Source organism: Homo sapiens, chromosome X (assembly GCF_000001405.40).
Source record: "Homo sapiens chromosome X, GRCh38.p14 Primary Assembly".
Taxonomy (NCBI): Eukaryota; Metazoa; Chordata; class Mammalia; order Primates; family Hominidae; genus Homo; species Homo sapiens.
In genome coordinates this window covers 140,263,158-140,279,146 of record NC_000023.11, presented here as the reverse complement: position 1 = coordinate 140,279,146, position 15,989 = coordinate 140,263,158, and the positions used below count along the sequence as shown (strand labels likewise).

The 15,989-nt window shown below is 38.7% G+C and overlaps 2 annotated features.

Moving 5' to 3' along the window:
* Window positions 3,842-5,041: an enhancer, noted in NCBI's record as "MED14-independent group 3 enhancer chrX:139356271-139357470 (GRCh37/hg19 assembly coordinates)". NCBI's record gives its function as "activates an origin of replication core promoter dependent on BRD2, BRD4, P300/CBP and CDK7 cofactors, and independent of MED14, by STARR-seq in HCT116 cells {active_cell/tissue: HCT116}" and the evidence as "EXISTENCE:reporter gene assay evidence [ECO:0000049][PMID:35650434]".
* Window positions 5,030-5,530: an enhancer, noted in NCBI's record as "H3K4me1 hESC enhancer chrX:139355782-139356282 (GRCh37/hg19 assembly coordinates)". NCBI's record gives its function as "activates a minimal SCP1, AML or CMV promoter by ChIP-STARR-seq in naive H9 embryonic stem cells {active_cell/tissue: H9 hESC(naive)}" and the evidence as "EXISTENCE:reporter gene assay evidence [ECO:0000049][PMID:30033119]".

Sequence of the window (15,989 nt, the reverse complement as noted above, 5' to 3'; positions counted from 1 at the left end):
TAACAATACTAAAAACACTAGGTATAGAAGGAACAAAACTCAATGTAATAAAAGCCATATATGATGGACTGACAGGTAGTATAACAAGAATGGGAAAAACTGAAAGTCTTTCCTCTAAGATCTGGAACACAATAAGGATGCCCACTGTCACTGCTGTTATTCAACATAGTACTGGAAGTCTCAGCTAGAGCAATAAGACAGGAGAAAGAATTAATGGGCATCCAAAGTGGAATGGAAGAAGTCAAATTATTCTTGTTTGCAAATAATATCTTATATTTGGAAAAACCCAAAGACTCCACCAAAAAAAGCATTAGAACTGATAAACAAATCTAGTGAAGTTACAGGATACAAAATCAACATACAAAAATCAGTAACATTTCTATATGCCAACAGTGAAAAATCTGAAAAAGAAATCAAGATATAATCCCATTTACAATAACTACAAATAAAATCAAATACCTAGGAATTAACCAAAGAAGTGAAAGAGCTCGACAATAAAACTATAAAACACTGTATAAAAACTATAAAACACTGATGAAATAAATTGAAGCAGACCCCAAAAAATGGATGTTCATGGATTGGAAGAATCAATATTGTTAAAATGTCCATACTACCAAAGTAATCTACAGATTCAATGCAATTTCTATTAAAATGCCAATGATATTCTTCACAGAAATAGAAAAAACGATCCTAAAATTTATATGGAACCACAAAAGACCCAGACTAGTCAAAGCTATCCTGAGAAAAAAGAACAAAATGGGAGGAGTCACATCACCTGACTTCAAATTATGCTACAAAGCTATAGTAACCAAAACACTATGGTAGTAGTATAAAAACAGACACATAGGCCAATGGAACAGTATAGAGAACCCAGTAACAAATCCACACACCTACAGTGAATGCATTTTGACAAAGGTACCAAGAACATACACTGGGGTAAAGACAGTCTCTTCAATAAATGGTGCTGGGAAAACTGGTTATCCATATGCGGAAGAATGAAACAGATCCCTATGTCTTGCCATATACAAAAATTAAATCAAAACGGATTAAAGGCTTAAATCTAAGACCTCAAACTATGAAACTACTACAAGACGACATTGGGGAAAATCTCTAGGACTTTGGACTGGGTGAAAATTTCTTGAGCAATACCCCACAAGCCCACAAGCACACACAACCAAAACAAAGGTGGACAAATGGGATCACATCAAGTTGTAAAGCTTCTGCACAGCAAAGGATATAATCAACAAAGTGAAGAGGCAACCCACAGAATGGGAGAAAATGTCTGCAAACTACTCATCTGGGAAGGGATTAACAACCAGAATATATAAGCAGCTTAAACAACTCTATAGGAAAAAAAAAATCTAATAATCCCATCAAAAATGGGCAAAAGAGTTGAAGAGACAGTTCTCAAAAGAAGACATACAAACGACAAACAGGCATATGAAAAGGTGATCATCATCAGTGATTATCAGAGGAACGCAAATTAAAACTACAAATATTATCTCATCCCAATTTAAATAGCTTATATCCAAAAGACAGGCAATAAGAAATGCTGGCAAGTATGTGGACAAAAGAGAACCTTGGTACAGTGTTGGTGGGAATGTAAATACAACCACCATGGAGAACAGTTTGAAAGCTCCCCAAAAATCTTAAACTAGAGCTACCATATCATCTGGCAATCCCATTGTTGGTGATATACCCAAAAGAAAGGAAATCAGCATGTTGAAGAGACATTTGCACTCCCATGTTTGTTGCAGCATAGATCACAATAGCCAAATTTGGAAGCAACCTAAGTGTCCATCAACAGATGAACGGGGCCAGGCACAGTGGCTCATGCCTATAATCCCAGCATTTTGGGAAGCCGAGGCAGGCGGATCACCTGAGGTCAGGAGTTCGAGACAAGCCTGGTCGACATGGTGAAACCCTGTTTCTACTAAAAATACAAAAATTAGCTGGGTGTGGTGGCGTGTGCTTGTAATCCCAGCTACTTGGAAGTCTGAGGCAGGAGAATTGCTTGAACCTGGGAGGCGGAGGTTGCAGTGAGCTGAGATCGTGCCACTGTACTCCAGTCTGGGTAACTGAGTGAGACTTTGTCTCCCAAAAAAAAAAAAAAAAAAAAAAAAAAAAACCAGATGAATGGATAAAGAAAATGTGGTACATATACATAATGGAGTACTATTCAGCCATAAAAAAGAATGAAATCCTATCATTTGCAACATGGGTGGAAGTAGAAATCATTATGCTAAGTGAATTAAGCCAGTCACAGAAAGATAAACATCACATGTTTTCACTTATTTGTGGGATCTAAAAATCAAAACAATTGAACTCATGGAGATAGAGAGTAGAAGGATGGTTACCAGAAGCTGAGAAGGGTAGTGGGGATGTTGGTGGGGAGAGGGAGGTGGGGATTGTTTACGAGTACAAAAAAAAAAAATAGTTACAAAGAATGAATAAGACCTAGTATTTGACAGAAGAATGGGGTGACTATAGTCAATTTAATTGTATATTTTAAAGAAACTAAAAGAGTATAATTGGATTGTTTGTAATACAAAGTATAAATGCTTGAGGGTGTGGATACCTCATTTTACATTATGTAATTATTATACATTGCATGCCTGTATCAAAATACCTTATGTACCCTATAAATATATACACCTACTATGTGCCCACAAAAATTAAAATTTAAATTAAAAAATCCCAAGGAAATAACACAAAAAGTCTTAGAACTTATAAATGAGTTCATTAAGGTTACAGGATACAAAATTAACACATAAATATCAATTATATTTTTACAATAACAATGAACATGTGGAAAACAAAATGAAAAACCGAATACCACTTACAAGCACTTCAAAGAAAATGATATAGTTATAAATCTAACAAAACATGTACAGGGCTTGCTTATATACTTAGAATTATAAAATGCTATTGAAAGAAATCAAAGGATACCTAAGTAATTGCAGATACATATTATGTTTATAGATTGGAAGACTCAACATAGAAGAGATGTCACTTGTTCCCAGACTGATCTATAAATTCAATGCAATTCCTACCAAAATACCAGTAAGGATTTTGGTAGGCATAGATAGACAAGCTTATTCTAAAATTTATTTGGAAAGCTACAGGCCCTAGAGTAGCTAAAACAATCTTTAAAAAATAGGAATTATGTGGGAATAGTCACTCTACCTAAAATTAAGCGTTAGTACGTAGCTATAGTAATCAACACAGTGTGGTATTGGCTGAGTAATAGACATTGATCTGATAGATCAAATAAATAAAATAGAGAACCCAGGAACAGATCCATATCAACATGTCCAAATGATGTTTGACAAAAGTGCAAAAGTAATTCAATGGAGGAAGTATAGTCTTTTCAACAAGTGATGCTGAAGAAATTGGGCATACATTGGCAAAAAAATGAACCTTGGCCTAAATCTCACATCTATTATGAAAATTAACTCAAAATGGATTGTAGACTTAAATATAAAATGTAAGACTTTCAGAAAAAATAAAAAGCATAAGAGAAAGTCTTTAGGACCAGGGGCTTTTAGACTTTATACCAAAAGCACAACCATAAAAGAAAAAAAAATTAAATTGAGCCTCATCAAAATTAAAATATTTTGCTCAGAAAATGCTATGAACTAGTTTAAAACACCACTCATTTATTTAAAAAAAGAAATGTTAACATGATAACATGTTTCCAAGTATGGCAAATAGAGATCCCATCTGATTTAGTTTATATGGAGTGGTGAGTCCACTGGTCAACTTTCCTTGGAGGCCTGGCTAAGTGTGAAGGATATGTGCTATTGTAATGCCTGAGTCACTTCCAGGGCATGCATTTCCTGTGGTTACGACTTTTCTAAAGGGTAAGTCAGCTGGAAACAACATACAATGAACGTGCACATAGAATGCTGGGCTTTGGAAAAAGAAATACATTTGGGGAAAAGTAAGTAAAGGACTTTACAGGAACCTCTTTTTTTGCAATTCTTACCTAGGACTTGGTTGTAATTTCAAAAACATGGATGATAACGTGCCTGGGCTTATTAAAACCCAGCAATATGAAGAACTGGCTTTGATTTTAGTTGCATTTAAAACTTCCACTGCACTGAAGAAGGAATCTAATACTCAGTGGCAGAATTTGAAACCCAAGGCTGACCTCTTTATGACAAAGTTGATGGCAATGAGCATTCTTGGCATCAACTCAAAATGTTTTGCTTGTAGATCCTGAAAGAAAAACTTTCTTAGGAGTCTTTCAGCCTACTGACTGGGTTGGTGTTAAGTAGTGAGGTGGGTGGGGAGAAGAAAAGCTACTGCCTGGCCTCTGGAGTTGGCCATGGCTGACATTTATCAAACCTACTATAGTAGGTGTGATCACTAGTTTTCTTATCTAATTCTCACCACAGTCTTGGAAAAAGTAAACTAAAGGAAGATTATTCAAAACTAAGAGAGGAGAAGTTACATCTATGGAATGATTATCATATGTGCCAAACATTCTGCCATGTACTTTTTTCCTTAGAACATGTTATAAGGTGAATGCTATTTTCATTCCCATTTCACAGATGAGGAAAAGGAGTCTCAGAAAGGTGAAGGGGCTTGTGGCTTCTTTTGTCAGTCCTATGCAGCTCAGCTCAAGTGTCTGTGTCTCTCTCTCTCTCGCCTGCATCCTGCAACACAAATATACCCCAATATGAATATCAGTTACAAAGATGGCTGAGCAGCCATCAAGTGTCCACCAAGGAAAGGCAGCAGGGACTGGTAGTGATCCCAGGAAGCCCAGCAACAGAGCTTGCTGTAGCTCTGAAGCAGAGAAAACAGCATGGAGATTGGCACAATATCAAGGGGTGAGGGAAGCAGGGACAGAACCAGAGTCCTAACTAACATTTTTGGCGCCCAGGGCAAGCAGTGTGAAACTCGCCTTCTCTTCAATGGAAGCTGCTCTTGATGGGGGAAGGGGCAGCCCTACGCACAAAAGGTCCCCTGGCTGGTGTGCTCTGAGCCCTTGACCTCAGGCCTCTCACTCCATCCATCTCTGCTGCTGCCAAGTGGGCTGGCCGGGGGCCAGGATGAGGCTTCCAACTGAGACCAGAGAGGTGGTGGGAGAAAAATGTGGTGCCCTGTAAATTTCTGTGCCCCAGTGACCCCACCCTAGCCAAGGCTCTGGAAAGAACAGAGCAGAATGTTGGACTGGGAAGGGAGGTGAGGGAAGTCAGAGGGGGACTAACTGAAAGAATAAGGAGAGGCTGGGGGCCATCAGTCACAAAGATGGAGTTGAACAAGTTCGCCAGAAGACAGAAAATTTTGGTAGCTAGAAGGCATTTCGGAGTTCGAGGTTTGAGAGGTGAAGTAGGAAACTGCAAGTAATAGCAGTGGTTGCTGAATAAAACAGGAGGCCCAAATCACAGGGTCAAAGAGGTCAAGGAAATGGGAGGGCTATTATTGATTCCACAAGTTTTCACTGAGCCTACTATGTGCCAGGCTTTGTGGCAGACACTTGGGATACAATGGTGAAGAAGACATGGTTCTCACCCATCTTCAAATGTGATGGGGCTAGTGGAGAGATGGGCAAAAGAGAGGCAGACAAATACAATATGATGTGGAAATGGTCCAGGGTTTACCCAGATGCTTAAGAACTGGCTCTCCTGCTTGAGAAAATTTCAGTTTACAGAGATCTTCTGTATATTCAAGAAGAAAGATGAACTTACTGTAAGAAAACACATATAAGCAAGTACTTTAGGAAGATGGAAGATGAAATTATTCACTCAGATTTCTGAGGGAGAGAGTGAGAGAAGTACAAACAGAGAGGTGAGGGGCCAAGATTGCAGAATAGGAACACCTCCAGTCTGCAGCTCCCAGAGACACCAATGCAGAAGGTGGATGATTTCTGCATTTCCAACTGAGGTACCCAGTTAATCTCATTGGGACTGGTTAGGCAGTGAGTGCAACCCATGGAGAGTGAGCAGAATCAGAATGGGGCAACGCTTTACCCAGGAAATGCAAGGGCCGGGGGGACCTCCCTCCCCCTGCCGAGGGAAGCCATGAGAGACTGTGCTACGCGGCCTGGGTACTACGCTTTTCCCATGGTTTTTGCAATCTGCAGACCAGGAGATTCCCTCATGTGCCTATACCAACAGGATCCTGGGTTTCAAGCATAAAACTTGGTGGCTGTTTGGGCAGACGCCAAGCTAGCTGTAGGAGTTTTTTTCATACCCCAGTGGCACCTGGAACCCCAGTGAGACAGAACCGTTCACTCCCCTGAAAAGGGGGCTGAAGCCAGGGAGCCAAGTGGTCTAGCTCAGTGGGTCCCACTCCCACAGAGCCCAGCAAGCTAAGAACCACTGGCTTGAAATTCTCACTGCCAGCACAACAGTCTGAAGTCGACTTGGGATCATCGAGCTTGGTAGGGGTAGGGGCATCCACCATTACTGAGGCTTTAGTAGGTGATTTTCCCCCGACAGTGCTAAGGAGGCTGGGAGGTTTGGACTGGGCAGAATCCACCACAGTGCAGCAAAGCAGCTATGGCCAGACTGCTTCTCTAGATTCCTTCTCACTGGGCAGGACATCTCTGAAGGAAAAGCAGGAGCCCCAATTAGGGGCTTACAGATAAAACTCTCATCTGTCTGGGACAGAGCACCTGGGGGAAGGGGCAGCTGTGAGTGCAGCTTCAGCGGATTAATTCATTCCTGCCTGCCAGCGCTGAAGAGAGCAGCTGATCCTGACAAGGGGGATTCTCTCCACACAGCGCACCAGTTCTGTTAAGGGGCAGACTGCCTCCTCAAGTGGGTCCCTGACTCCCATGCCACCTGACTGAGAGATACCTCCCAACAGGGGTCATCAGACACCTCATACAGGAGAGCTCCAGCTGGCATCAGGCTGGTGCTCCTCTGGGGCGAAGCTTCCAGAGGAAGAAGCAGGCAGCAATCTTTGCTGTTTTGCAGCCTCCACTGGTGATACCCAGGCAAATAGGGTCTGGAGTGGACCTCCAGCAAACTGCAGCAGACCTGCAGAAGAGGGGCCTGTTAGGAGAAAAACTAACAAACAGAAAGCAAAAACAGCAACATCAACATAAAAGACCTCCTCCCAACAAAAACCCCATCCAAAGGTCATCAGCCTCAAAGATCAAAGGTAGATAAATCCATGAAGATGAGGAAAAACCAGGGTAAAAACGCTGAAAATTCCAAAAACCAGAATGCATCTTCTCCAAATTATCATAACTCCTCTCCAGCAAGGGCACAAAATTGGATAGAGAATGAGATTGATGAATTGACAGATGTAGGGTTCAGAAGGTGGGTAGTAACAAACTCTTCTGAGCTAAAGGAGCATGTTCTAACCCAATGCAAGGAAGCTCAGAACCTTGATAAAAGATTACAGGAACTGCTAACTAGAATAACCAGTTTAGAGAGGAACATAAATGACCTGATGAAGCTGAAAAATGCAGCACGAGAGCTTCGTGAAGCATACACAAGAATCAATAGCCAAATTGATCAAGCAGGAGAAAGGATATCAGAGATTGAAAATCACCTTACTGAAATAAAGCGTGAAGACAAGATTAGAGAAAAAAGAATGAAAAGGAATGAACAAAGCCTCCAAGAAATATGGGACTATGTGAAAAGACCAAACCTACAATTGGCTGGTGTACCTGAAAGTGATGGGGAGAATGGAGCCAAGGTGGAAAACACACTTCAGGATATTATCCAGGAGAATTTCCCCAACCTGGCAAGACAGGCCAACATTCAAATTCAGGAAATACAGAGAACACCACTAAGATACTCCTTGAGAAGAGCAACCCCAAAACACATAATTGACAGATTCTCTGAGGTTGAAATGAAGGAAAAAATGTGAAGGGCAGCCAGAGAAAAAGGTCAGGTTACCTACAAAGGGAAGCCCATCAGACTAACAGCAGATCTCTCTGCAGAAACCCTACAAGCCAGAAGAGAGTGGGGGCCAATATTCAACATTCTTAAAGAAAAGAATTTTCAACCAAAAATTTCATATCCAGCCAAACTAAACTTCATGAGCGAAGGAGAAATAAAATCCTTTACAGACAAGCAAATGCTCAGGGATTTTGTCATCACCAGGCATGCCTTACAAGAGCTCCTGAAGGAAACACTAAATATGGAAAGGAAAAACTGGTACCAGCCACCACAAAAACACACCAAAATATAAAGACCAATGACACTATGAAGAAACTGCATCAACGAATGTGCAAAATAACCAGGTAGCATCATGACGACAGTATCAAATTCAGATATAACAATATTAACCTTAAATATAAATGGGCTAAATGCCCCAATTAAAAGGCACAGATTGGCAAATTGGATGAAGAGTCAAGACCCATCCATCGGTGTGCTGTATTCAGGAGACCTATCTCGCATGCAAAGACAAATATAGGCTCAAAATAAAGGGGTGGAGGAATATTTACCAAGCAAATGGAAAGAAAAAAAAAAGCAGGGGTTGCAATCTTAGTCTCTGATAAAACAGACTTTAAACCAACAAAGATAAAAAGTGACAAAGAAGGGTATTACATAATGGTAAAGGGATCAATGCAACAAGAAGAGCTAACTATCCTAAATATATATGCACCCAATACAGGAGCACCCAGATTCATAAAACAAGTTCTTAGAGAACTACAGAGACTTAGATTCCCACACAATAATAGTGGGAGATTTTAACACCCCACTGTCAATATTGGACAGATCAATGAGACAGAAAATTAACAAGGATATTCAGAACTCAAACTCAGCTCTGGACCAAGCAGATCTAATAGAGATCTACAGAACTCTCCACCCCAAATCAACAGAATATACATTCTTCTCAGTGCCACATAGCACTTATTCTAAAATTGATCACATAATTGGAAGTAAAACACTCCTCAGCAAATGTAAAAGAACTGAAATCATAACAGTCTGTCAGACTGCAGTGCAATCAAATTAAAACTCAACATAAAGAAATGCACTCAAAACCACACAACTACATGAAAATTGAACAACCTGCTCCTAAATGACTACTGGGTAAAGACAGAAATTAAGACAGAAATAAAGAAGTTATTTGAAACCAATGAGAACAAAGAGACAACGTGCTAGAATCTCTGGGACACAGCTAAAGCAGTGTTAAGAGGGAAATTTATAGCACTAAATGTCCACATCAGAAAGCTGGAAAGATCTGAAACAGGCACCCCAATGTCACAATTAAAAGAACTAGAGAAGCAAGAGCAAACAAATACAAAAGCTAGCAGAAGACAAGAAATAACTAAGATAAAAGCAGAACAGGAGATAGAGACACGAAAAACCTTTCAAAAAAAAAAAATCAATGAATCCAGGAGCTGGTTTTTTTAAAAGATTAACAAAATAGATAGACCACTAGCTAGATTAATAAAGAAGAAAAGATAGAAGAATCAAATTGACACGATAGAAAATGATAAAGGGGATATCACCACCGATCCCACAGAAATACAAACTACCATCAGAAAACACTATAAACACCTCTACGTGAATAAACTAGAAAATCTAGAAGAAATGGGTAAATTGCTGGACACATACACCCTCCCAAGACTAAACCAGGAAGAAGTCAAATCCATGAATAGACCAATAAAAAGTTCTGAAATTGAGGCAGTAATCAATAGCCTACCAACCAAAAAAAAGCCCAGGATCAGACAGATTCACAGCCAAATTCTACCAGAGGTACAAAGAGGAGCTGGTGCCATTCCTCCTGAAACTATTCCAAACAATAGAAAAAGAGGGACTCCTCCCTAACTCATTTTATGAGGCCAGTATCATCCTGATTGCAAAACCTGGCAGAGACACAACAAAAAAAGAAAATTTCAGGCCAATATCCCTGATGAACATCGATGCAAAAATCCTTAATAAAATACTGGCAAACTGAATCCAGCAGCACATCAAAAAGTTTATCCACCATGATCAAGTCAGCTTCATCCCTGGGATGCAAGGCTGGTTCAACATATGCAAATCAATTAATGTAATCCATCACATAAACAGAACCAATCAAAAAAACCACTTGATTATCTCAATAGATGCAGAAAAGGCATTTGATAAAATTTGATACACCTTTATGCTAAAAACTGTCAATAAACTAGGTATTGATGTAACATATCTCAAAATAATAAGAGCTATTTATGACAAACCCACAGCCAATATCATACTGAATGGGCAAAAACTGGAAGCATTTCCTTTGAAAACTGGCACAAGACAAGGATGCCCTCTCTCACCACTCCTATTCAACATAGTATTGGAAGTTCTGGCCAGGGCAATCAGGCAAGAAAAAGAAATAAAAGGTATTCAAGTAAGAAGAGAGGAAGTCAAATTGTCTCTTTGCAGATGACATGATTGTATATTTAGAAAACCCCATCATCTCAGCCCAAAAACTCCTTAAGCTGATAAGCAACTTCAGCAACTTCTTAGGATACAAAATCAATGTGCAAAAATCACAAGCTTTCCTATACACCAATAATAGAACAATCAGAGAACCAAATCATGAGTGAACTCCCATTCACAAGTGCTACAAAGAGAATAAAATACCTAGGAATCCAACTTACAAGGGACGTGAAGGACCTCTTCAAGGAGAACTACAAACCACTGCTCAAGGAAATAAGAGAGGACACAAACAAATGGAAAAAAAAATTCCTTGCTCATGAATAGGAAGAATCAATACGTGAAAATGGCCATACTGCCCAGAGTAATTTATAGATTCAATGCTATTCCCATCAGGCTACCATTGACTTTCTTCACAGAATTTGAAAAAAAAAACAAAAAACAACAACAACAACAACAACAACAAAAAACCTTTAAATTTCATATGGAACCAAAAAAAGAGCCTGTATAGCCCAAGACTACTCTAAGCAAAAAGAACAAAGCTGGAGGCATCCTGCTATCTGACTTAAAACTATACTACAAGTCTACAATAACCAAAACAGCATGGTACTTGTACCAAAACAGATATATAGACCAATGGAACAGCACAGAGGCCTCAGAAATAACACCACACATCTACAACCATCTGATCTTTGACAAACCTGACAAAAACAAGCAATGTTTTTGCTTGTTTTAGAAAGGATTCCCTATTTAATAAATGGTGCTGGGAAAACTGGCCAGCCATATGCAGAAAACTGTAACTGGACCCCTTCCTTATACACAAATTAACTCAAGATGGATTAAAGACTTAAATGTAAAACCCAAAATCATAAATACTCTAGAAGAAAACCTAGGCAATACCATTCAAGACATAGGCATGGGCAAAGTCTTCATGACTAAAACACCAAAAGTAATTGCAACAAAAGCCAAAATTCAATAATGGGATCTAATTAAATTAAAAAGCTCCTGTACAGCAAAAGAAACTATCATGTGAGTGAACAGGCAACCCACAGAATAGGAGAGTATTTCTGCAATCTACCCATCTGACAAAGGTCTAATATCCAGAATCTACAAGTAACTTAAACAAATTTACAAGAAAAAAAAACACACAACCACATCAAAAAGTGGGTGAAGGATATGAACAGACACTTCTCAAAAGAGGAAATTTATGCAGCCGACAAACATGAAAAAAGGCTTATCATCACTGGTCATTAGAGAAATGCAAATCAAAACCAAAATGAGATACCATCTGACATGAGTTAGAATGGCAATTATTAAAAAGTCAGGAAACAACAGATGCTGGTGAGGCTGTGCATAAATAGGAATGCTTTTACACTGTTGGTGGGAGTGTAAATTAGTTCAACTAATGTGGAAAACAGTGTGGCAATTTCTCAAGGATCTAGAACCAGAAATACCATTTGACCCAGCAATCCCATTACTGGGTATATATCCAAAGAATTATAAATCATTCTACTATAAAGACATATGCACACATATGTTTATTGCAGCACTATTTACAATAGCAAAGACTTGGAACCCACACAAATGCCCATCAATGATAGAATGGATAAAGAAAATCTGGCACATATATACCATGGAATAGTATGCAGCCATAAAAAGAATGAGTTCATGTCCTCTGCAGGGACATGGATGAAGCTGAAACTCATCATTCTCACAAACTATCACAGGAACAGAAAACCAAATACTTCTTGTTCTCACTCATGAGTGGGAGTTGAACAAGAAAACACATGGCCACAGGGAGGGGAACATCACACACTGGGGCCTGTCGGGGAGTGGGGGACAAGCGGAGGGAGAGCGTTAGGACAAATACCTAATACATGCGAGTCTTAAAACCTAGATGACGGGTTGATAGGTGCAGCAAACCACCATGGCACATGTATACCTATGTAACAAACCTGCATGTTCTGCACATGTATCCCAGAACTTAAAGTAAAATAAAAAATAAATTAAAATTAAAATTAAAGTTAAAAAAAGAAAAAACAGAAAGAACTTCATGAACTTTGTGGCATGTGAAAATGGGCAGGATTTAAAAGATGGAGGGGGATGGGGAGAGGATTTTAGGCTGGAGAAACAACAGCATACACATGAAGGCAGAAAAGCATAGAACACATCTAGGGACTGGGGAGCTGTTAACAGGCGTGTTTAGAGGTAAAGCTGCTGCTGGTGGTAGCAGTGGTGGGAGGGTGTGTTGGGGGAAGTGAGGGAGAGTTGAGTGTTGATAGCCAATAGAAATGAAGCTGGAAGAGTTGTTTGAGATCAGATAATAGAAAGCCTCCAATTACAGGTTTTAGCGTTCAGTCAAGATCCTATAAGTAATGAAGACCTAAATGAGATTTTTTATTTTTAAGGAAAGAAAGGTCATGATTTTTTCCCTGTGGTTTAAAAAGCAACTCCCTGGTACAAGGTCTGGGTAATGGCAGTGAGAGAAAAGAGGCAGAAATATCTCTTCAGAAAATGTTACAAAGATTCACGTGTGAGCTGAGATCCAGATATAGGGTAATGGGAATGGAAAAGGAAGCGGGGTGGTGGATTCAAGAAGCACTTGAGATGGGGCTCACAGCACTTGTCAACCAAATAAATGTGGGAGGGGCTAGAAATAACAATATAGCTATGCCGCACCTTTCTTTCCAGCTTAGGATTTTTTCTTATTGACTTTTGTGTTAAAGTGGAAGCCATATTTCTCATTTAAATTCATAAGAAAACACATAAAGATAAAGAGATTCAGTGAAATTGAAAATCAGCAAGATACCCCAACCATCTGTCTTGGCCCTGGAAGAATTGTCCTTAAGCAAAGCATGGGTGGGTTCCTAAGCAGTACAGCAGGTCCAGGAAGGAAGAAGTTGCTCCTTCATAATAATAATTTTTAAAATAATAAGATAATGCTTAACATTTATTGAGCTTTTCCTTTGTGCTCTCAGGGAGGTGTCTCATATGCACTATCTCACTTAACCCTTCTAATAATCTCATGTGGTATATATTACTATTTCTATTCCCCAATGAGAAAACAGGCTCAGTGAGGTTTAGTTCACACAGGTTTAGATAATACAGCTAGCATGTGACAAATTGGAGATTTCAACTCAGGACAATCTTCCATGCCACCAAGATTGCTTTTGAAATAAGTCTGCTTAGCTATGATGTCAGACATGAGAGTCCATTTCCAAAGCAGAAGAAAGCCAAGAAACCTTTTTTCTTAGGTAACCAGGACTTTTTTTTTTTTCACACAGCTGTTCCATGTAAAATCAAAATTCATGATTCCCAATGGACAGGCACCAAATCAACTGAGAACCTGCTAGAAATAATAAAACCTGACAGGGGATTCAGACACTAAGCAAATATACAGGAAGCAAGAACTTTCTTATATATCAAAGGTATCTGTTAGAAAACAATAAAAATAAATCCCATTCCCAACAGCTATAATAAATTTAAAACAACTAAGAATAATCCTATTAAGATGTGTGTATGGAATGGGCTATATGAAGACAATTACAATATGAGCAAGGTAGTACAGAAACGTTAAAAAGACCAAGCAAGCTGAAACCATACAAACCAGTCTTAATAATCAATGGGAAGAATTATGATTGTTCAGTGACCTTTAAAAATTTCTGCCAATACACTAAAAACTCTCTCACCATCCATTCCATTATAAAGGTATAAGAAAATGGAAAAAGTAAAATATTTAGTTCACTGTAATTTAAACATTAGAAATATTGAGAATTAAAGTGTTTGTTACTTTGTAAAAAATGTTATCAATGATAGTTCAAACAGTACTTGCCTTCTTCTTGTCTTCCATAAAAGCTAGTGTATTTTTATGCCTTGACAAATTGTAATACTCCTTTGTAAGTTTGCATCATCTTTCAATATTGTATCCTTTGCATTTTCAATGTTGCCAAATATCTCAAGGATTTCTCAAATATGTTTTTTTGTTTTGTTTTGTTTGTTTTGTTTTGGGTTTGGCTTTTTTTTTTTTTTTTTTTTTTTTTTTGCTGGTATCACTTCCTCTGGACCATGTTCATTCTTTTTGTCACAACAATTTCCCACATTTATGTCAACACTTTCACCCCCATTAAGCTCCTCTGGTTGCATTTCTAGGGTCTCTGGAATGGCGGCGGTGTCAACATTCCCACGGTTAATGATTTCTTCTGTAACTTCATTTATGTTTGATTCTAATTTCACTTCTAGCATTGTCACTTTTCGTTCCTTGCTGCACTTTCATCTTTGTTGGCCAACGCACTCTTTTGATTATCTATTTTCATAAAATATCACAGAGATTTATCGCTGAGAGACAAAGAGGCAACATGCTTTGTGCACAGGGACCAATCACCAATTGGGTTTGAAAGAAGTGATACCATTAGTCACCAATCATGATGCACTTCTGTTACTTACATAGTAAATTTGTGGACCAAAGAGATAGCACTGAAGTTTGTATTTTATGCAATTACTCATGCTTAAGATACTGTGGTGATTACATTTCAAACTGTGTTATTGGGGAACTGGTGTTATTTAATTAAACCATCACAAATGAAATTCATTAATATTAGAACCATGAAAAGAAAGGAATGTCTGTACCTTACATAAGGGCTCCAACATACTTTAATAAATGGAGATACATACTATACTTAACTTTTAAGGAATGCCTACTATGTGTCACATGCTGTTCTACATTTCTCTTTATGTGTTTATTTACTTAATCTAGCTGCAAACCCTACATAGAAGGCACTATTAATATCCCTATTTTACAGATAAAGAAACTAGGGTACAGAAATATTTAGTAACTTTCTAAAAGTCACACAGTTAGAAGTGGCAAAGCCAGAATTTGAATCCAAGCAGCCTGACTCCCAAGGCTGAACACTTTATCATGTGTTGCCTTATATACCAGAAGGCCAAGATGCTTATTTTCCCCATAATGAATTCCAGGAGGATTTTTGTAAGTAAAACTTGAAAGATTCTAAATTCACTTAGAAAGCAATGGGCTAGAGAAACTAAGAATTATCTTCTTATATTAAAACACAATTTAAGGCTGGGTGTAGTGGCTGATACCTGTAATCCCAGCACTTTGGGAGGCCGAGGCAGGTAGATCACCTGAGTCCAGCAGTTCAAGACCAGCCTGGGCAACATGGTGAAACCCCATCTCTATAAAAAATACAAAAAAAAATTAGCTGCGTGTGGTGGCATGCACCTGTAAACCCCAGCTACTTGGAGACTGAGGCCAGAGGATGGCTTGATCCCAAAAGGCAGAGGTTGCAGTGAGCCATGATTGTGCCACTGCACTCCAGTCTGAGTGACAGAGTGAGACTCTGTCTCCAAAACACACACATACACACCCACACACACAAACACACACAATTTAAAGCTACAGTAATTAAATACAGTAATTAAAACAGTGCAGCACTGGAACTAGAGTTGAGAGACACATCAATGGAATGGAGTAAAAAGCTCAAAAAATACTGTTCTATCTTTAAGTGTTTATGTTTTTCAATGGAAGAGTAAGTTATATCCCAAATCAGAAAGAAAATGAAGTGTATTATACAAGTGGTATTGAGTAAATTGGTTAACTACAGTAAAATAAAGTTGGACTGTTTTTTCATATTTCACATCAAAATTAATTTC